Source organism: Homo sapiens, chromosome 11 (genome assembly GCF_000001405.40).
Source record: "Homo sapiens chromosome 11, GRCh38.p14 Primary Assembly".
Lineage (NCBI taxonomy): Eukaryota > Metazoa > Chordata > Mammalia > Primates > Hominidae > Homo > Homo sapiens.
In genome coordinates, this window is record NC_000011.10 from 73950207 (window position 1) to 73972303 (window position 22097).

At 50.4% G+C, this 22097-nt stretch overlaps 1 protein-coding gene across 17 annotated transcripts, besides 3 other annotated features; it reads left to right on the plus strand.

Annotated features, from left to right (window-relative positions):
- On the plus strand, positions 820 to 20075 carry DNAJB13 (DnaJ heat shock protein family (Hsp40) member B13). Of its 17 annotated transcripts, XM_024448508.2 has the most exons (11): positions 820 to 931; positions 2202 to 2470; positions 8111 to 8214; positions 8331 to 8523; positions 8689 to 8819; positions 9288 to 9449; positions 14672 to 14829; positions 15932 to 16045; positions 18139 to 18252; positions 19040 to 19116; positions 19755 to 20075. In XM_024448508.2, exons 6-11 carry the CDS (start codon positions 9290 to 9292, stop codon positions 19906 to 19908), a joined length of 777 nt encoding a protein of 258 aa, XP_024304276.1. In that variant the 5' UTR covers positions 820 to 931; positions 2202 to 2470; positions 8111 to 8214; positions 8331 to 8523; positions 8689 to 8819; positions 9288 to 9289; the 3' UTR covers positions 19909 to 20075. The 17 variants fall into 17 exon arrangements, 16 of the variants coding, with proteins under 16 accessions (XP_024304276.1, XP_011543306.1, XP_024304277.1 ...); XM_011545004.4 differs by lacking the exons at positions 8331 to 8523; positions 8689 to 8819 and adding an exon at positions 5707 to 5996; XM_024448509.2 differs by lacking the exon at positions 8689 to 8819.
- Positions 14343 to 14452: a silencer, noted in NCBI's record as "silent region_3749". NCBI's record gives its function as "represses an Ori minimal core promoter by ATAC-STARR-seq in GM12878 lymphoblastoid cells {active_cell/tissue: GM12878}" and the evidence as "EXISTENCE:reporter gene assay evidence [ECO:0000049][PMID:35858748]".
- Positions 14473 to 14562: a silencer, noted in NCBI's record as "silent region_3750". NCBI's record gives its function as "represses an Ori minimal core promoter by ATAC-STARR-seq in GM12878 lymphoblastoid cells {active_cell/tissue: GM12878}" and the evidence as "EXISTENCE:reporter gene assay evidence [ECO:0000049][PMID:35858748]".
- Positions 20080 to 20239: an enhancer, noted in NCBI's record as "active region_5246". NCBI's record gives its function as "activates an Ori minimal core promoter by ATAC-STARR-seq in GM12878 lymphoblastoid cells {active_cell/tissue: GM12878}" and the evidence as "EXISTENCE:reporter gene assay evidence [ECO:0000049][PMID:35858748]".

Genomic DNA, 22097 nt, shown 5'->3' on the forward strand with positions numbered 1-22097 from the left:
GAACAGAAATAAGATATTAGGTTAAAACAACTAGTAAATCTGAATAAAATGTGGATTTTAGTTAATAATAATGTATCAATATTGGTCATTATTTGTGACAAATGTACCATACTAATGTAAGATGTTAATAATAGGGGAATGTGAATGCAGTGGCTCACACCTGTAATCCCAGCACTTTGGGAGGCCAAGCCGAGCCCAAGAGTTCAAGACCAGTCTGGGCAACATGGTGAAACCCCATCTCTACAAAACATACAAAAATTAGCCAGGCATGGTAGTGCACGCCTGTGTCTCAGCTACTTGGAAGGCTGAGGTGGAAGAATCCCTTGAGCCTGGGAGGTTGAGACTGCAGTGAGGTGTGATCCTGCCACTGCCCACCAGCCTGGGTGACAGAGTGAAGACCCTGTCTCAAAAACATGATAATGATAATAATAATAATAAAATAGGAGAATGTGGATGTGAGGTATATGGGAACTCTCTGTACTGTCTTCTCAACTTTTCTAAACTCTAAAACTGTTCTAAAATAAATGTATTTTTAAAAAATTAGCCAAATGCATTTCTTCTAAAACCTTTTTATTAAAACTAATTACTGCTCTCTTTAAAAACAAAAACAAAATAAAACAGAGCCCTGTGAGTCTTCAATTTCCGAGTTGAGTGACCTTTCACAGGGTCGCAGAATCAGCCCCAGCTCTCCCCCAGTCCTTTCACTGACTCCTCTCTGTGGCAGAGCTGAAATTTGTTTAGGGAAGTGGGACTACAACTCCCAGAGTGCACCTGTGCGGTTGTCAGGAGCAACCAAGGAAGCCAACTAACAGCCTTGCTAGAGTCTGAGGACTATCCAGGGCCTGACTGCCAGCTAGCCAGCCATGGGCCAGGATTATTACTCTGTGCTCGGGATCACTCGCAATTCAGAGGATGCCCAGATCAAGCAGGCGTAAGTTGGGGTGGGAGCCAGGCCTTAGGGGTGTGCTGGGGCAGGCCCTGCCCTCTTCTCTTCCAAAACGAGCTTTCCTGCACAGCTTAGCGCAGACAAGGTAAACCTTGTTCCTCCTTTCACTTCTTGCATACCTGTATCCTGGCTTTGGTCTGGGTCAGGGCCCAGGTTGGAAATTTGAACTCTTTAGTTCCTCAATCTGCTCCCAACCCATCTCCCTTTATGCTCCATGCCCTATATCCTCTCCTGGGTGCCTTGCTTTTCCCAGCAATGAAGTGGGGACAAAGGAGCCATTTGAACTTTATCTTGAATATTATGGAGAACCAGAGGCTTGTGAACAAGGGAGTGGCCAGGCCAGATGGATGTTTTAAATTCAATTCTGGCCATGATGGAGGTTTTCAGCATTGACTAAACTACATTCCTGAATACTTCCATCGGATCTTAAGGACGTTCTGGCTCGTTCCTAAGAAAGCCTACAACAGGAGTCAGTACATTTTTCTGAAAACATGTTTTTGTTTTTTGTTTTGAGACGGAGTCTTGGTCTTGTTGCCCAGGCTGGAGTGCAATGGCGTGATCTCGGCTCACCGCAACCTCCACCTCCTGGGTTCAAGCGATTCTTCTGCCTCAGCTTCCCAAGTAGCTGGGATTACAGGCATGCACCACCATGCCCAGCTAATTTTGTATTTTTAGTAGAGATGGGGTTTCTCCTTTTTGGTCAGGCTGGTCTCAAATTCCCGACCTCTGGTGATCCACCCGCCTCAGCCTTCCCAAGTGCTGGGATTATAGGTGTGAGTCACCGCACCTGGCCAAAAACATGTTTTTTTTTTTAACAAATATTTATTGAGCGTCTACCACAAGGGTTGAGAGGGTACTTCACTCCTGCTGCAGTGGTAGCAGCTGGAGATAAATGTCGGAATCCGACATCGACACTCCCTTACCTCATGCAGCTAGATTTTGTTGCTGAATAGATGTTGAATAAGTCACCACAACTGTGATGAGTGTTACAGAAGAGGAAGTATGGGGGGCTGTGGAAGTTATCTTGGAAGGAGAGAGACCCTTTAGGAGGCTGTTCGTGGTAATCAAGGCAAAAGATGAGGCCAGAGAAAGGGGAGGGAATGGACTTGGTAATTAAGTGGATCACTGGAGGGTGAAGAAAAGAGGAGTCCAGGATAACTCAATCAATTAAGTTAGGCAGTGACAATAGGTGTATGTTTTGAGTGTGTAGGTGCTGTTCTGAGAACTTTCCATCACTGTTTAACCCTCACAACAGCCCTGAGAATTAAGTGCCATTATTATCCCACAAGTGCACTAGTAAATGGTGGAGCCAGTGTTCAGATATCAGGCCTCCCAGAGTTGCCAGTCATGGGCCTATTCCTGGGCCAGGTCCTGTAGGGGATCAGTGGCATAAGTGGAGAGTCTGCGGTGTTGGAGAAAAAAGACACAAACTCATGAAAGGATCTGAGAACAATTCAGGACAGTGTATGATGTCACCCACTCTTCGGAGCATCTCATTGACCAGAAGGACCCATCCAGGGAAAGGTAATCAGGAGGAAGGGCAGTGGGCGTGCAGAAAGATAAGCACAGCTTAAGCACTGGAAAGGGCTGGATCAGAATCCAGATTCACTTACCTGCTAGCTGCGTGACCTGGGCAAATTACTTAACCTCTTTGAGCCGAAGTTTTCCCATGTCTAAAAATCATCATCATAATAAAGGTTGCTGTGAGATTGAAATAGGATTAGATGAGATAATGCATGTGTCCAGCAATCATTTGCATGTGAAACCATGTCATATAAAGAGTGATTAAGGCCTGGCATGGTGTTTCATGCCTGTAATCTGAGCACTTTAGGAGGCCAAAGCAGGAGGATCCCTTGGGCCCAGGAGTTTGAGAGGGCAGCCTGGGCATCATAGGGAGACCCTGTCTCTACAGAAAATTTAAAAATTAGCTGGGCATGATGGCACACACCTGTAGTCCCAGCTACTTGGGAGGCTGAGGTGGGAGGATTGCTTGAGCCCAGAAGGTAGAGGCTGCATTGAGCTATGATTGCACCACTGCACTCCAGTCTGGGCAACAGAGCAACACCTGTCTCAAAAAAATAAAAATGGCTGGGCCGGGCACCGTGGCTCATGCCTGTAATCCCAGCACTTTGGGAGGCCGAGGTAGGCGGATCACGAGGTCAGGAGATCGAGACTGTAGCAGGACGAGCCGCAGAAAAAACCTCTCAGACACCGAGTTGTAGAAGGAAGAGCTTTATTCAGCTGGGAGCATCGGCCAGCTACTGCCTTAAAATCCGAGCTCCCCGAGTGTACAATTTCTGTCCCTTTTAAGGGCTCACAACACTAAAGATTTCACATGAAAGGGTCGTGATTGATTTGAGCAAACAAGGGGTACGTGACGGGTTTCATGCACTGGTAGTCAGAGAGAAACAGAACAGGGCAGGGAGTTTCACAATGTTCTTCTATACAATGTCTGGAATCTATGAATAACATCGGTTTCTAAATTATGAGTTGATTTTTAACTACTGGGTTTAGGCCAGGCAGGCCCAGGCCTGGTTTCAGGCCTGGCGCTGGGCTGCCTGTCTTTGGTTTTACTTCCTTGTTGCTTTTTTTTAAAACAGGTACTGAGTATAAAACAATATGAGATGGTCGCTCTCTTCCCTCAAGACCATCCTGGCTAACACACTGAAACCCCGTCTCTACTAAAAAATACAAAAAATTAGCCGGGCACCTGTAGTCCCAGCTACTCGGGAGGCTGAGGCAGGAGAATGGCGTGAACCCGGGAGGTGGAGCTTACAGTGAGCGAGATTGCGCCACTGCACTCCAGCCTGGGCGACAGAGCGAGACTCTGTCTCAAAAATAATAATAAAATAATAATAATAATAATAATAATAATAATAATAATAATAATGGCTGGACACAGTGGCTCACACCTGTAATCCTAGCACTTTGGGAGGCTGAGGCAGGTGGACCACTTGAGGTCAGGAGTTTGAGACCAGCCTGGCCAACTTGGTGAAACCACTTCTCTATTAAAAATACAAAAAATTAGCCAGGTGTAGTGGCGCATGCCTGTAATCCCAGCTACTGGGGAGGCTGAGACAGGAGAATTGCTTGAACCCAGGAGGCAGAGGTTGCAGTGAGCCGAGATCGTGCCATTGCACTCCAGCCTGGGTGACAGAGTGAGACTTCGTCTCAAAAAAATAAATAAAAAAAAGTAGGCCGGGCGCAGTGGCTCACACCTGTAATCCCAGCACTTTGGGAGGCTGAGGCGGGCGGATCACGAGTTCAGGAGATCAAGACCATCCTGGATAACATGGTGAAACCCCGTCTCTACTAAAAATACAAAAAAATAGCCGGGCGTGGTAGCAGGTGCCTGTAGTCCCAGCTACTCGGGAGGGTGAGGCAGGAGAATGGCGTGAACCTGGGAGGCGGAATTTGCAGTGAGCCGAGATCGCGCCACTGCACTCCAGCCTGGGCAACAGAGTGAGACTCCGTCTCAAAAAAAAAAAATAAAATAAATAAATAAATAAATAAATAAATAAGGCTGGGCACGGTGGCTCATGCCTGTAATCCCAGCACTTTGGGAGGACGAGGCAGGAGGATCTCCTGAGGTCGGAAGTTCAAGACCAGCCTGGCCAACAAGGTAAAACCCTGTCTCTACTAAAAAAAATTAGCCAGGCGTGGTGACGGGTACCTGTAATCCCAGCTACGCGGGAGGCTGAGGCAGAAGAATCGTTTGAACCTGGGAGGTGGAGGTTGCAGTGAACCAAGATTGAGTCATTGTACTCCAGCCTGAGCAACAAGAGCAAAACTCCATTTCAAAAATAAATAATAAATAAAAATAAATAGAGTGATTAAAAGAACTATGTAGGTTTCAAAAAGCAGTCCTTAACCCTTCTCCCCTGCAATAACTCTAAGTCACATGTATGACATGCTTGCTCATGGGATCACCTAGATATTGATCAAAAAAAAAAAGAGCTAAACTTATATAAGGAAGAAAAACATCATGATAGTTTATAATTGCCCAGGATTCATAATTGCAGCGTTCAAGCTGTGATTTCACCCCTTTCTCTCCCACTCAGGAAAGCAGGTGAATGAGAGTGATGTTATTGCAGGGATAATTTTGAAACCACTCAAATTTATATGAAAAACTAAACCTTTCTCAAACCTTGTTACTTTTTTTTTTTTTTTTTTTGAAACGGAGTCTCTCTCTGCCACCCAGGCTGGAGTGCAGTGGCAGGATCTCTGCTCACTGCAACCTCCACCTTCTAGGTTCAAGTGATTCTTCTGCCTCAGCCCCCTGAGTAGCTGGGACTACAGGTGTGTGCCACTGTGCCCGGCTAATTTTTTTATTTTTAGTAGAGACGGGGTTTCACCATGTTGGCCAGCCTGGTCTCGAACTCCTGATCTCAAGTGATCTGCCTGCCTCGGCCTCCCAAATTGCTGGGATTACAGGAGACTGAGATGGGCAGATCACTTGAGGCCAGGAGTTTGAGACCAGCATGGCCAACACGGCAAAAACCCGTCTCTACTAAAAATACAAAAATTAGCCAGGTGTGGTGGTGGGCACCTGTAGTTCCAGCTACTTGAACCTGGGAGGCGGACAATGCAGTGAGCCCAGATCGCGCCACTGCACTCCAGCCTAGGTGACAGAGTGAGACTCTATCTCTAAATAAATAAATAAAAATAACTGACTGTGACCTTTATAATTGAGAAAGGCTGGTTTGGAAGGCTGTGACAATTGTCTTCAAGTCTCTGAAGGTAGATATTCTCTCTGTAAGGTCCCCAGGGCACAGCCAGGACCCTTATGGATGGAGGGGCAGTTGCAGGACCACAGATCCAGCTTCCTGTCCGCAGTAAGAGGAGGCATTGCCTAAAAGTCAGAGCCATGCCACAGTGAGATGGACTGTCCTGCAGGATGCTTAGCATGTATCATTTATTTACTCACTCCTGCTCAGTGCCCAGCACTGGGGCTAGAACTGGATGCAGCAACTCCAGGACCTCCCAGTCTATTAGACAGAGGAGTCAATATACACCTGGAACACAGCACTGCTGAGGACAAGGATCAAAGGTGCTGGGGACTTGGGAAGGGGAGTCTAACCTAGAAAGGAGGCTAACAATCAGGGAAGGTGCCCTGGAGGATTTGGCACCTGAGTCGAAAGTTGAAGGATGAATTAAAAATTGCCCAGAGAAGCTGGGAGGAGCTGCAGAGGGGTGAGTCATGCAGGAGAGGTCAAGGGAGCAGCAAGAGAGAACAGTGAGTGAGGCCAGAGGGAGAAGCAGGGGCTTGGATCTTAGAATGAGACATCCGAGTTTTATGCTGGAGACAATGGGGAAACCAGTGAAGGGTTATGCCAGGAGAGGGACCTGGTCAGAAAGTATTTCAGAAGGCTGGGCGCTGTGGCTCATGCCTGTAATCCTAGCATTTTGGGAGGCTGTGGTGGGCGGATCACCTGAGGTCAGTAGTTCAAGACCAGCCTGGCCAACATGGTGAAACCCTGCCTCTACTAAAAATACAAAAATTAGCCAGGCGTGGTGGCTCGCGCCTGTAATCCCAGCTACTTGGGAGGCTGAGGCAGGAGAATCGCTTGAACCCAGGAAGCAGAGGTTGTAGTGAGTAGAGATTGTGCCATTGCACTCCAGCTTGGGCAACAAGAGAGAAACTCCATCTCAAAAAAAAAAAAAAAAAAAAGTATATGTCTGGGCTCAGTGAATTTATGATACCTTGGAGAGGAGATGGCAAGTAGGCACTTGGAGGTAGTCTTTGGCTCAGGGAAGTGGTCTGGTTCGGGATGGAGATTTAGCTGTGAGAGACAGAAGCCTGCCTCTGGAATAAGAAGAGAAGCTGTGGAACTCTGGGGATGGCGGCGAGGCGGGTGTGGGCACTAGAAAAGCGGGTGGAGGCAAGGTGGGGGGTCACGCCTGGGCTGAATGACAGGCGTCTGTGCTGGATGCTTCCCGTGCAGCCCTCCAGACCCACTCCCCACCCTTCCTGCCCTGCTGCGCTCCGGGAGGCTTCCTTGCCCTCAGCCTTCCACATGGAGCCGGCCCAGGGGAGCATCAGGCGGGGAGATGGGGAGGGAGAAGGGCAGGGCTGCGGCTTTATTCCCCAGTTCTCCTCCTATGGGGTCTCTTCAGTCAGCTGTGTCGCTTGACAGAAGGTCACAGCTCCGCTGAGGGCCCTGTCCACACACTCCAACAGACCCCTCGGGGTTCCTGGCCTGGGAAAACTGCACTCCGCTGTCCCTGGCAGTCTCCCTCCGCTCCTCCAGCACCTGGGCGAATGGTCCCTTTATTAAGCTCTCCACAAACCACCCAATCCGCTCCATCTCTCCCCCACCCCGGGTCACTGCCGATACATATTCTCAGACGCTGCGATGTCTGCCCTTCAGAAACAGGCCAGCTGGTACGACTTGTATCAACCCTCCCTCCTCCAGGTGCCGCAGACTCGCCCTTTAACCACCCGTTGAAGTCAAATGAGCCGTCTTCAGCAGAGATTTTCAGGCAAATAGCAGAGGACTGGGCAGGAACAGAAGTGGGGAAAAAATGAGCAGAGAGAGGGTGGGGGCGGCACAGGAACCGGACGGGCACTGAGCGCCTCAGCCATGCCCGCTGCACACCCAATTGTAGCTCATCCTCCCAAGATGCCTGTGTGTCTGCTCCGGTCCTCTAAGAAGCAAACAGGATTAGATGAGCAGGAAATGCACCTGGAGAAACCGTGAAGTATGAAGGGAAGGGAGCAGGGGCGCGCACAGTACAGCCTGACACCTGCGAGTGGAGACAGGGAGGGGAGGAAGGAGGGAGAGTGCAGCGAGGCCCGGGGAGCAGCTCAGCCAGCCTCTGGGGAGCCCTCGCGCAAAGCTTGCCCGTTGGAGGAGTCCTGTGTCTTGCAGGAATGGGCCAGCCCTGGTATCCCCACCACACGTAAGCATTGAGGGCAGCTCAGGGGCAGTTGCTTCAGCTCAGATGCCCAGGGGGGCAGCTGCTGGAACTGTCGGTCAACTGTGCTCCCCGCACCAGCTACTCTTCAAGAGCTGAGCAGTGCACCTCCGCAGCCACCACAGCTGGTGAAGTCACCCCGGATTTATAGCTAGGCAGGAGTGAACAGAGTGCCGGCTCTGAACTCTGGTCCGCCCTCAGAAACAGACCAGCTGATAAGACTTGTATTAATTCTCCCTCTTCCAGGTACCGCAGACTCGCCCTTAAGCACCACCCGTTGAAGTCAAATGAGCCGTCTTCAGCAGAGATTTTCAGGCAAATAGCAGAGGCCTACGACGTGCTGAGTGACCGTGAGTAGGTGTGGGGCTGAGCACCCCGCTTGATTAGGATCATTCCTTAAGTCTCTAGACTGTTGGGTTTTCTGAGGGGGCCCAATAACGAGGAAGCATCCTTCTTCCCTGCCTAGAATCTAGACACACAGAGAAGACAGAATACGGACCCGCCTTTCTCAGTAGAAGCAAGCTGAGGTGGAGGACGTGGGGTGTGGAGCCCAGGATTACACTGACTCGCTCATCCTGGCAGGCAGTGTGGGAGCTGGGGCACATTCCCCACGCATCCCTATGCCCTGCGGGGACGGGACCTTCCCCGGGAGAAACAGAGTAAGGGGCTTGCAGCTACGGGGAAGAAAGCTGAAGCTGGGCAGGCGTGCCCACCTGTCCCTCCCAGAGGTCCTTCCCAGTGGCTTAGTGTCCATTTCCCCAGGGCCAGCAACAGTAGGAAGAGGCAGAGAAAGGCCAGGAGTAATTAGGAAATCTGTCTCCTAGGGAAACCAGCAGAGTGAAGAAAGTGTGATCCCCGCCCCGGCACCCAGGGCCGTCCTGCGGGGCTTTCCCTGGGGGATTGTCCTGGAGACTAATCCTGGTTCCTGCGGAAGTGCAGCTAGAAGATCACTAAGGTTTCTACAGCCCCGAGTTTTCAGGACTTCAGGGTCCTTAGACTCTAGGATTTCGAAGTTTTAAAATTTGGAGGCTCTAGAATTCTTAGCTTCTAAAATGTCAAGGTTCTACGATTCCGTTTACCCCAGATAAGACAGTGGCTATGATGACTGAGTTAGGCCAAATCCCAGGGCCATTGCCTGAGCCTCAGTCTCTCAGTTATTCCCCCAGTCTCTCACCCTGCCCCCAGCAAACTCAAGGCTTTCCCGTCTCTCTTCTGGGCTACAGGAGCCATACCTAGGTCCTCCCAGAATGAAATGGAACGCCTGACTCCTAGGGTCTCATTCCAAAGACTGCCAGACAGCAGGCACTTTGGGATCAGGCTGCTTCTGCCCCTTCCCTTTCTCCATATCCGCCTGCTTCCCAGCCCCTCCACCTATCTCAGCCCCCAAAGTTGGACACCTCCTTAAGGTGATGCCCATCCACAGCCATGAAGAGAGGCATCTACGACAAGTTTGGAGAAGAGGGCCTGAAGGGTGGGATTCCTTTGGAGTTTGGATCCCAGACCCCATGGACAACTGGTTACGTCTTCCATGGCAAACCTGAAAAGGTGTTCCACGAGTTCTTTGGTGGAAACAACCCCTTCAGTGGTAAGAGGTCTTCCTCCCCCACCTTGCCTTATAGAGAAAGGACACTGCTATAAGTGATGTTTTCGTTGAGTAGTTTTGTTTTTATTTTTACTTTATTATTTTATTTTATTTACTTATTTTTTTTGGAGATGGAGACTCACTCTGTTTCCCAGGCTGGAGTGCAGTAGTGGGATCATGGCTTACTGCAACCTCTGCCTCCCGGGTTCAAATGATTCTCCTCCCTCAGCCTCCCAAGTAGCTGGGACTACAGGCGCACGCTGCCACACCCAGTTAATTTTTTTATATTTTTAGTAGAGACGAGGTTTCACCATGTTGCCCAGGCTGGTTTCGAACTCCTGAGCTCAGGCAATCTGCCTAAGGCCTTGGCCTCCCAAAGTGCTAGGATTACAGGCATGAGCCACCGTGCCCGGCCTATTTTTACTTTAATAAATATATATAAAACACATTGCAAAAGAAAAAGTAAAACAGAATTCATTGAAAAAGAAATACATTCCAGCCCTCCATTTTCTTTTTCTTTCTTTCTTTTTTATTTTTATTTTTTAGATGGAGTCCTGTTCTGTCACCCAGGCTGGAGTGCAGTGGCATGATCTCTGCTCACTGCAACCTCCGCCTCCGGGGTTCAAGCAGTTCTCCCTGCCTCAGCCTCCTGAGTAGCTGGGATTACAGGCACCCACCACCACACCCAGCTAATAATTTTATATTTTTTAGTAGAGACGTGGTTTCACCATGTCTGCCAGGCTGGTCTTGAACTCCTGACCTCAGCTGATCTGCCCACCTCTGCCTCCCAAAGTGCTGGGATTACAGGTGTGAGTCACCACGCCCAGCTAATTTTTGTATTTTTCATAGAGTAGAGACAGGGTTTCGCCATGTTGGCCAGGCTGGTCTTGAACTCCTGACCTCAGGTGATCTGCCCACCTCGGCCTCCCAAAGTGCTGGGATTACAGGCATGAGCCACCGTGTCTGGCCGAGCCCTCCATTTTCTTCCTCAGAAGCAGCTACTAGGGAAGCAGCTATTAGTAAACAGTTTATGTATCCTTCCAGAAACTTGCCATGCTTGTATGAGCTGTATTTATTTTTACAGAAGCCTTTTATTAAGGAAATAGGGCCAAATTTTACACAATGATTTTTTTTTTCACTTAATATATCTTGGAGATTATCTTATATGTTATACTATATATAGATCTACTTTATTCACTTACATGCAAATCTATATACTATGTACAGATCTGCATAAGATTTCATTGTACAGATGTCTATTAGGGATCCATTGCAGAAGCAAATACTGTTTTAGCCACGTGAAGCAGAAAGGGGTTCAAAACAGGGAATTAGGTGCTTTAAAAAATCACCGAGGCCAGGTGTGGTGGCTCACTCCTATAATCCCAGCACTTTGGGAGGCTGAGGTGGCTGGATTGCTTGAGTGTAGGAATTCGGTGCCAACCTGGGCAACATAGCCAAACCCCATCTCTACAAAAAAATGTGCCAGGAATGGTGGTGTGTATCTGTAGTTCCAGCTACTCAGGAGGCTGAGGTGGGAGAATCGCCTGAGCCCAGGAGGTTGAGGCTGCAGTGAGCCAAGATCGGGCCACTGCACTCCAGCCTGGGTGACAGATTGAGACCTTGTCTCAAAAAAATAAAATACATAAATAAAGAAATAATCATTGAAAGGCCTGGGTGAGAAGGCTGTAAGCTGGCCCTGTAGGAAATCTTCCAAGAACACCACCTCTAAACTGGCCCACAAGGAGAGCTGCTGTCTCTGCCACAGTCACAAAGAAGGAATCAGGAAATGTCACCGTTGCATTCCAGAGCACACCATGAATGTAGCTGCAACTGCTGCCTCACTTGCCTCTGACAGGCATGAAACTCGTGGGTGGACCCACAAAGGCTGCTGCAGAAAAACCTAGTGTCTCCACAACAGTGCCCACCAGCTCCAGACAGAGCCACGGAGAGATGCCTGCCGCCTTCTTCCTGCCTCCCAAGCAGCTCAGGAACTACCTGATGAACAGAATTCAAAGCCAGAACCTTAGCTGCAAGAGAGTCTGGGGGATGTTCCTTTTGGCTCTACAGATTCTCTAGCAGGGAAGGTATGCAAGAAGGAGGACAGAGCAGATGCCAAGTGCCAGCATGGCTACCATGGATGTTTTATAATTTATTATTATTAAAGTCTTGCTCTGTTGCCCAGGCTGGAGTGCAGTGGCACAATCTTGGCTCACTGCAACCTCTGCCTCCTGGGTTCAAGCGATTCTCCTGCCTCAGCCACCCGAGTAGCTGGGATTACAGGTGGGCACCAGAATGCCTGGCTAATTTTTGTATTTTGAGTAGAGATGGGGTTTCCACTCAAGACTGGCCAGGCTGGTTTTGAACTCCTGACCTCAGGTGATCCGCCTGCGTCATCCTCCCAAAGTGCTGGGATTATAGGCATGAGCCACCATGCCAGGTCTAATTTATTATTTTTAATTACTGTCTTATTGATGGGTAGTTTCTTCCCAGTCTTTTGCTAATATTGTATTTGTGGGAAGATACCTCTTGTCTCTTTTGCAGTTAAAACAGTTCTTGTGCTATTTATAGTTTCCCTAATATGCTTGTCTCCCTACCAGACTGGGAGATCCTCCAGGTCTGATTGATCTCAGCGTAGCCAAATCCCAGCCTAGCATCTGACAAGAGTGAGTGTGGATGGGTGGATGCATGAAATGAAGGAAGGACAGATGGATGAATGGATGAGTGGGTGTATGAATGAATAGACGAGCACATGGTGGGTGGGTGGGTGGGTAGGCGGACGGATGGCTGGGTAAATGAATGGATGGCTGGGTAGGCGGATGGATGGCTGGGTAGGCGGAAGGATGGCTGAGTAGGTGGATGGGTGCGTGATTCCAGGTCTGAGACAAACTGACCAAGAGTTGATTTCTGAGGCTCAGAATCATCTTGCAAAGGCAGTGAAAAGACCTTCACACCTGACTTCCTGGCTCCAGTTATACCCACATAAGGCCTAGATTTTTCACTGCCTGTTTTCTCCTACACCTCTTGCCCCTTCTCCCTGACTATACTTCAGCCTTTCTGAACTTCATAAGTTCTTTCCTTCTCTTTTCTGTGCCAATATGTGGGTTACAGCCCCTCTGCCTCAGAGATTGCTCCCACCTTGTGCCACCCTCACGTGTCTGCCAGAAGAAGCTGAGTTTATAAGCTCCACGTGAGACTGAAAACAGCAAGGGGCTTCGAGTAGCGGGCCTGTTTCCAATCCATGCGCTGCCATTTGTGAACCGTGTGATCCTGGGAAAATTTCTTCACCCCTCTGAAACCCCAGCTTCCTAACCATTACATAGCCAAAATAATCATTAAGGCTCAAGGGCTATTATCAGATGAGATAATGTTTATGAAAAGGGGCTTTGCAATCGGCCGGGCATGGTGGCTCACACCTGTAATCCCAGCACTTCAGGAGGCTGAGGCCGGCGGATCACTTGAGGTCGGCAGTTCAAGACCAGCCTGACCACCATGGAGAAAACCCATCTCTACTAAAAACAAACAAACAAACAAAAACAAAAAAACAAAGCCAGGCACAGTGGTGCATGCCTGCAATCCCAGCCACTTAGGAGGCTGAGGTAGGAGAATCGCTTGAACCGAGGAGGTGGAGGTTGTGGTGAGCCGAGATTGCGCCATTGCACTCCAGCCTGGGCAACAAGATTGAGACTCTGTCTCAAAAAAAAAAAAGAAAAAAGAAAAAAAATGAAAGGGGCTTTGCAGTCCAAAAATGCCATACAGTGGACCTTGCCTCCCTACCTGTCTCAGTTCAAAGGAGCCAAGTGAGTCTACAGGGCATCGCTCATTGGGAAAGGTCAGGCTCAGGGTCTGGGCTTCCTCAGGCAGTGCCCAGAAGCTATACTGCCATAGTGCTCCACCCCAAGGGTTCCTGAGTCCCATCTCCCTGCAGGGTTGAGGGGCTGGGCTTCCTGTGGACTGGCTATTGGGGTGTTTACTGCCTGGTACACTGTAGGTCTGGGTGAACAAGTGAATTCAGCAATGCAACAGGAGGACCAGAAGATTCAGGCCTCTTGATTGCCCATCGCATCTTAGAGGGACATAGTGTAGTCACCTCACCATCCCTGCCTAAGGTCATTTCACCATTCTAGCCTGTGAAGTTCATTCCATGGCATTAACCATGAGAGGCAGAATATGAAAACTCTTAACCATAGCGCCCCTCGAGTTTACAGCTTATGAGGGGCTTCCACATCTAGCGATGCGGCGTGGCACAGTGGTTAAGGACACAGGTTCCGTAGTCATATTGTCCTGTGGTTCAGATCCCAACTCTACTGCTTACTAGCTACGGGACCTTAAGCGTTTTGTTTGGGCTCCCTGGACCAATGAAATAATAATGTAAGGTTCCAAAAATAGCACCTGACGCATAGTAAGCTCTCAGCAAGTTTTAGCTCTTCATCTTAATGGTGGAAGGCAGGTCAGGCATTATTACCCCATCCCACAGACCAAGACACTGAAGCCCACGGATCACACAGCACATCAGGGGCAGAGCCAGGATGGGGCTGTCTTTGCACTGGGAGGAAGGATGGGGGCAGCAAGAGGGGTTATGGGTGCAGAGCTGGGCAGGGGCAAAAGAAATTGAGGAAAGAGGAGTTTGGGGAATGCCGGTGGCCTCTCAAATTGTTAGGGACCAACCCTTTCCCTCCCCCATCTCAGCTGACAGCTTTATAGAAACTTGAGTCTGGGGTCTTTAGCAATCTTGGGCTGGGCTGGACAGCGAAGGGTTATGGAGTCTGGGGAAGAGTAGAGAGGACTGGCAGGCTCTCACCTTCCTGCCGAGGACTACCAGCAGTCTCTTCTGGCACTCCTGAGCGCGGCCACCAGAGGGAGTGCCTCCCTTTCCTGAGACAGCCAGAGTTACGGTATCCGAGTTGTGAATAAGAGAGACGGGGAAGCGTTGGGCGGGGTGGGGGGGGAATGTCCCAAGGGGAGGTGAAGCAGTGGGAAATGGCAAAGGATGATAATCACTGCATCTGCAGTTGAAGACAGCTCCTTGGCTTGGCCAGTCTGAGAGGTGGTTATAGGATGCTGGGTGTTACACAGGACACTGAAGAGGTTGGGGAGCATATCTGGATAGGGAGGCTGTGTGTGTGTGTGTGTGTGTGTGTGTGTGTGTGTGTGTGTGTGTGTGCGCGCGCGCGCATGTCTGGGTCTCTGGATACAATTTCTCTTACTCCTCTCCCTACCTCCTGCAGAGTTTTTTGATGCAGAAGGAAGTGAGGTAGATTTGAACTTTGGGGGGCTCCAGGGCCGAGGGGTCAAGAAGCAGGACCCCCAAGTCGAACGGGATCTCTACCTGTCCCTGGAGGACTTATTCTTTGGCTGCACCAAAAAAATTAAGATCTCCAGAAGGGTGAGTACTCAGCTTGCTCCTCCCGGGAGCCACCTATCTCCTGCAGCCTAGCAGCTGCCTCCTCCCTTACCTGGGTGGGAGGACTCAGGGATGGTCTCTGATGGAATTATGGAACCTTAGATTCAGAGACCTAGGATGTTAGAATTCCGGAATCTGAAATTCGGAAGGGACAGTTGAAGACATTAGCCCGGTTCTTTCCTAGTGCAGGAGTGCCCTCTGCAGCCTTCCCAACTGGGACAGGCTCTTTCCCTTCCTTTCTTTCAGTTCAGCCCCATCCCCGTGGGAACTGGAAAGGCTCTGAATGGGAGGAGTCTCTTCTGAATTCTTCCTTCTGGGCTTTACCAGACCATATTCCCAGGATTTCATCAGGGTGCATGCCTCGTGCATAAGAAAGAACAGTGGGCATGGAGGGTGGGCTGGGAGATAGTCCCCAAGGTGACGGGTTGAGGAAGACCCTCAGTGCCTCATGTCTAGTCCTTGGCTTGGCCCTGTCCCATGGCCCAGCCCTGTGCCAGGCATAAGAGCAAGCCCCCTCCACCTTTGCCCAGCAGAGGAGATGCCGATGCGGCCATGCTTTCCACAGATGGAACCCATCTGGACATGCGACTGGGGAGTGGAAGGATCCCCAGTGGGGAATGCACTGGGGGAGGCTTAGATATGTTGACTTTCATTTCTCTCTTTGGGATTAAGAGACTTGCTGGAGGCTCAGGGCCGGGCCTCTGGGATTTGGAGAGAGGAATGGAGTACATTTTCACCATGTATCTGTTAGTGGCCAGGGCTGGAGCTGTGTGTTTGATCAACTAATGGTGACTGCTTGGCATCTCAGCCCCCAGCCCCAGTCTCATGGCATCCTCTGCCATACTGGAATCATAAGTTCTTGGTTGTCATGGCAACAGGATGGGAGTGGGAGTGGCTCAGGGCAGGCTCTCCCCATTGCTGGAGGCTCTTCCCATTGCTAGAGGATTGAGCCCAAGTACAAATCCCATAGAGCATCTTTCACGTGTGCAAAGGTCACCTGAGTGTTCATGAAAATCTGAGCAAATCTCGACTGTACTCATGGAAGTCCTAAGCAGACCTCCCCACACCTGATATGTTGCTATAGGTGCTGAACGAGGATGGGTACTCCTCCACCATCAAGGACAAGATCCTGACCATTGATGTGAAGCCCGGTTGGAGGCAGGGCACACGCATCACCTTTGAGAAGGAAGGGGACCAGGTGAGGGGGGAAGAAGCTGACTCAGGTCAGTCACTGAGCTCAGGCGGTGGGAAGACTGAGGAGGAAAGGAAGGGAAAGGAGGCAATACTTTTTCCTGCCCCTGTGAGCCTTGGTCTGTAGAGAGCCCAGTCTGCAGAGTGGGTGAGATGGGATCCCTAATGTTCCTTCCAAGGAACAGAGCCTTAGCCTTACAGTGCTTCTGTGAACAGGCAGCCCAGGGACTGTCCCCATTTTACAGAGTGGGAAATGGGGGCCCAGAGAAGAAAGGGACTTGCCCAGGGCAAGAACATGGGAGCTGAAAGGAGATCCCAGTCTGAACTCCAGTGTTTTCCTGATTTTCTTCAGTGCTTCTCAGAATAAAGCCCAATTACAGGAGCTACTCAGAAACCATTTAATCATAATAATTTTATTTATTTATGTATTTATTTATTTATTTATTTTTATTTTGAGATGGAGTCTCACTGTCGCCCAGGCTGGAGTGAGGTGGCATGATTTCAGCTCATTGCAGCCTCCACCTCCTGGATTCAAGCAATTATCCTGCCCCAGCCTCCTGAGTAGCTGGGACTACAGGCATGTGCCACCACGCCCAGCTAATTTTTTTTTTTTTTTTTTTTTTTTTGAGACAGAGTCTCGCTCTGTTACCCAGGCTGGAAGGCAGTGGTGCGATCTCAGCTCACTGCAAACTCCGCCTCCCGGGTTCAAGTTATTCTGCTGCCTCAGCTTCCCCAGTAGCTGGGATTGCAGGCATGCACCACCACACCCGACTAATTTTTGTATTTTTAGTAGAGACGGGGTTTCACCATGTTGGCCAGGCTGGTCTTGAACTCCTGACCTCAGGTGATCCACCTGTCTCGGCCTCCCAAAGTGCTGGGATTACAGGCGTGAGCCACTGCGCCCAGCCACCCAGCTAATTTTTGTATTTTTATAGAGATAGGGTTTCTCCGTGTTGGCCAGACTGGCCTCGAAATCCTGACCTCAGGTGATACGCCTGCCTCGGCCTCCCAAAGTGCCTGGGATTAAAGGTGTGAGCCACCGTGCCTGGCCTATTAATAATAATTTTAAATTAAATACTATTTAAATAAAAACATAAATTTATTGTCCAAGGCGTGCTGAATCCTTAAGTCCTGAGAAGAGGCATTCAGAGCCAGGGAAGACACATTCCTTTGCCTGCACTTTTTGCCCCCTTTCTCACCTATGAAACATCTACCTCCGGTCTGGCCTGGTGGCTCACACTTATAGCCTCAGCACTTTGGGAGGCCAAGGCAGGAGAATCACTTGAGCTCAGAAGTTTGAGACCAGTCTGGGCAACATAGCGAGACCTTGTCTCTACTAAAAATAAAAAATTTAGCTGGGCATGGTAGTGTGTGCCTGTGGTCCCAGATACTCAGGAGACTGAGGCAGGAGGATCTTTTGAGCCGAGGAGGTCAAGGCTGCAGTGAAGTATGATCATGCCACTGCACTTCAGCCTGGGCAACAGAGCGAGATCCTGTCTAAAAACAAAACAAACAGACAAAATACAAATAAAACATCTACTTCGAATAAACACGCTTCAAAACCCAGCTCCAGTGTTCCCCGCTCTGGGCAGCCTCCTCTGAGCCCCAGCCTCTGGGCCTCCCTTTATCATGTCTTGAGCGTGCTGAGGATTCACTGTCAGTGTTAGGGGCCAGTCTGATTCCTCTGTCCCCAGCGCCCAGAAGAGACCTCAGCAGAGTTTTGGTGACTTAATGAAGTTTGGGACAGGGGTGTCATGCCTGGAGTTACTAGCAAGACAGAGACATACGGGCAGTTGCCTGACGCCCAGCTTAGTGTTCCACCTGCCTGCCGTCTGAGGAAGCCTCTCCGCCCCTCCAGCTGAGTGTGTCTATTTTGGGCATGCTCAGTACAGAAGTAATTCTGGGGGGATTCATTTGGGTAAGCTTCTCGGGCTTCTAATCCATCTGGGCTATGGGGGCCAAACTGAAAAGGCCCTTCCAGAAAACCTGCTCTCATCTCCCCATTGTACAGATGAAGACATGGAGACAAGTAGAGGCAGGAACTTGGCCAAGGTCACACGGCCAACTAGTCCTTGTCACCTTTTGGCGTCCCCTGCCCAGGGCCCCAACATCATCCCAGCAGACATCATTTTCATCGTAAAGGAGAAGCTACACCCTCGCTTCCGCAGGGAGAATGACAACCTCTTCTTCGTGAACCCCATCCCTCTTGGCAAGGTGAGTGGGCAAAGTGCAGGAGCAGCGGGGAGGAGATCAGAGTGAGCCCTGCCTGCCCCGGCCTAGACTTGGCCTCCCCTCCCACAACCACCTGCCATCAGTCACTAAGCCCTGTGGATTCCACCCTCTAAATCACCATCCACTTGGTCCCGTCTGCTCATCTGCACCGCCTGGATCTGTACACCAGATCTGCGCAGCAGGCCTTCCTCCCCACTTCTCATCTCCTCCAGGCTCTTCTCCTTAGGGATCCTGCCACACACTCATCAGACCCTGCCACACTCCTGTCTAAACATCTTTGTGCCACTGGAGGCCCTCTGCGATCTGCTCCCTGCTTACTCCTTCCCCTGCACTCCCGCCCCTTCGCCGCATAGCACCCTGCCTGTGTGGCGCATTGTCACACCTCCGTTCTCATTTCTGCTGGGCCCTCTCCCTGGAATGCTGTCTATTCACCTGACCCTATAGGGTCCTCATCAATAGCTACCACCACTGCTACCACTTCCTGCCCCACTCCTGAATGGTTTAGGGGCCTCTCCTTGGCTCCCACAAACGCTTTTATTCTGTCTCCATCATTACATTTATACAACATCCATCTTACCTGCCAGATCCATCCATCTTTCCTGCCAGTGCAGAAAATTGCATGGGTCATTCACCTATTAGTTATTGAACAGCCTCGTCTCCCTTGTGCCCAACTCACAGTCTGGCACTGGACAGGTTCCTAAGGTGCCTTCTAAATAGGAGAGCCATGGTGACCCTCCTCAGCCCCACCTTTGGCCCTGACCCTCCCTAGGCTCTCACCTGCTGCACTGTGGAGGTGAGGACCCTAGATGACCGTCTGCTCAACATCCCCATCAATGACATCATCCAGTGAGTCCATCTGCCTTGGGCCCCAGTAGCCAAGAGAAGGGCTAGCCTGGGATTTAGGTGGTAGTGTGACAGGTCTGCCCAGTAGAGTTGTACAGGCTGCCCCCAGCAGAAGGGTTCCCTGCTGAGGGGATAGAGAGGACCAAAACTGAACCCACACTGGCCAAGCTGTGGGCTGCAATCACCTGGCAAAAGGAACATCTTTTTCTAATCCACACAAAGCCACTGCAGAGGCTAGAGGCCCCCATTGTTGGGCAACCCTGTAGCCTCCATGCCCTGCAAACTTCTCATTAGAGTTCTGAGTTGCATATCCTAAGTCCTTTTCCAAGAAAGGCCCTCTGCCCGTGAGGAGGTTTGCCTGGCAGCCCAGCACCCTCGCCCTCACCCCAGGGTTTGCTCACCTTTACTTCCCGTTTCCCATGTCTTAAACAAAGTTTCTGGAATCCTCCATCAGAGACTCAGTGTAAACAGGTTTTCAGGGAGCTCCTTTCCCAACCAGTTCTGGCTAAGAACCACTCCAGGTGAAGACTGCAGTGACTGTCCCCTTCCTGGGGTTATGTGAGTAGGGGTTATATGACAGGGACCTGCTGAGGTGCTGCTCTGGGATGCCCTCTATGCTCCTTTCTTTCATCCTATTTCAGCCCCAAATACTTCAAGAAGGTGCCAGGGGAGGGGATGCCATTGCCGGAGGACCCCACTAAGAAAGGGGATCTCTTCATCTTCTTCGACATCCAGTTCCCCACCCGCCTCACACCCCAGAAGAAGCAGATGCTGCGCCAGGCATTGCTGACATGACTGTGGTGGGCTGGAGCAGGGGTGAGAGGAGGCTAGCCGGGCCTCACCCCACCCCTACCCGCCACAGCCTCAGGGTGTGCAGGGGAGCCTGCTGCACAGATATGATACAAGGGTGGGATGGCGCAGGGCTTAAACTGACATAATAAAGATCTATTTCCTGTCCTCCAGCTACACCCACGAGAGTACATTGGAGAGGAGCTTCATATTAGCCCTTCTTGTGGGGCACAGGGAAGAAAGAGGCCTAAGGAGCTGAGTGCCTGAGTCCCTGTCCTGGCTTTGTGGGAAAGGGCAGGTAAGGGTTCAGATCCTCTGTGCTTCCACTTTGATAGAGTGGGGCAGGGCTGTGTGGCCTCTGAGGGTCTCTAGCTCTGCTCTGGCTTTTCATGACAGAAGAGACAATCTCTGGAGCATGATATGGTCACGTTAGAGACAGGAAAACTAAAGCACAAAAGAAAACATTCATTGCAGGTCACTCAGGCCTCAGTGGCAAAGCTGTCATCAGAACCTTGAAGGTGGCTGGGTGCGGTGGCTCATGCCTGGACTTTGGGAGGCCAAGGTGGGCGGATCACTTGAGGTCAGGAGTTCGAGACCAGCATGGCCAACATAGTGAAACCTCGTCTCTACTAAATACAAAAATTAGCCAGGTGTGATGGTGGGCACCTGTAATCCCAGCTACTCCAAAGGTTGAGGCAGGAGAATTGCTTGAACCTGGGAGGCAGAGTTACAGTGAGCTGAGATTGCACCACTGCACTCCAGCCTGGGCGAAAGTGAAATTCCATCTCAAAAAAACTAGAAAGGCCGGGTGTGGTGGCTTATGCTTGTAATCCCAGCACTTTGGGAGGCCGAGGCAGGTGGATCACCTGAGGTCAGGAGTTCAAGACTAGCCTGGCCAACATGGTGAAAACCCGTTTCTACTAAAAATACAAAAATTAGCTGGGCATGGTGGCGAGGGCCTGTAATCCCAGCTACTCGGCAGGCTGAGGCAGGCGAATCACTTGAATCCAGGAGGTGGAGGTTGCAGTGAGCCGAGACTGCGCCACTGCACTCCAGCCTGGGTGACAGAGCAAGACTCTGTCTCAAACAAAAAACAAAAAAAACCCCCAAAAACCTTGAAGGTCACTTCCCACAGACTCGCCCTGCGTAGAGAAGCAGCATAAAGAACACATGTGCACTGGAAACAGCTTTGGTTCTACCTCTCTGGCCTCAATCCCCTGGTCTGTGATAGGGTCCTGGGCAGGGTGATCTGGGAGGCAGGAAACCTGAGTTCTGACCCCAGCCCTGCCACTTTCTCCTGGGACCAGTCACCACACCTGTCTTGTCAGTAAAGCAGAGCCCATAACCCCCCTCACGGGCATGTTGTGAGGACAGAGAACATTGATGTGAAAGTGCTTGGTGAACTCACTGCTTAGATTCAGGAAGGGGTAACAGCACTGCTGCCCTCAAGGCCTGGAGTTCCAGCATCCAGGTCCAACTGGGCCTGCGTAGACCACACTTGCCTCCTCATAGTCAACACGTGTGTTATGCTCCCCTTCCATGCCAGGGAGGTTCCCTTCTAGAGTCTGAGCTTGGGTGAGGATAGATCCAGGCTTACGGGGAGTAGGTAGCCAATTCCATGGAATGCCTTCAGAGGTGCCAGAAAAGGCCCCATGTTCTCCAGATTGCTTGGGACTCCACCATTCAAATCACATCAGCTTAAGGTTTTTTTTTTAAAACGGGGGTTCAGTAGCACTTTTGTCATTAAAAAAATCACCATGGGCTGGGCGCGGTGGCTCATGCCTGTAATCCCAGCACTTTGGGAGGCCGAGGCGGGTGGATCACAAGGTCAGGAGTTCAAGACCAGCCTGGGCAACATGGTGAAACTTTGTCTCTACTAAAAATACAAAAATTAGCCGGGCATGGTGGCATGCACTTGTAATCCCAGCTACTTGGCAGGCTGAGGCAGGAGAATCACTTGAACCCAGGAGGCAGAGGTTGCAGTGAGCTGAGATCTTGCCACTGCACTCCAGCCTGCACGACAGAAGAGACGCCATCTTAAAATTAAAAAAAAAATCACCATGAAGTCAGCTACCCAAAGACCTTGAGGTGAAGACTCTGGGACCAGGGCTCCAGGAAGCATTTCAGCATAGTAGTTAAAAGCATGTGGGCTTTGGAGTCAGACACACCTGTTCTGGATCCCCAGTGTGCTACTA

Excerpts from the sequence above, each read along its gene's own strand:
- DNAJB13 (XM_011545004.4), top strand. The coding sequence starts at position 5,827 with ATGGACTGTCCTGCAGGATGCTTAGCATGTATCATTTATTTACTCACT. Across the intron at positions 16,046-18,138 it reads TTGAGAAGGAAGGGGACCAG|GGCCCCAACATCATCCCAGC; the intron begins GTGAGGGGGGAA and ends TCCCCTGCCCAG. Across the intron at positions 18,253-19,039 it reads ACCCCATCCCTCTTGGCAAG|GCTCTCACCTGCTGCACTGT; the intron begins GTGAGTGGGCAA and ends GACCCTCCCTAG.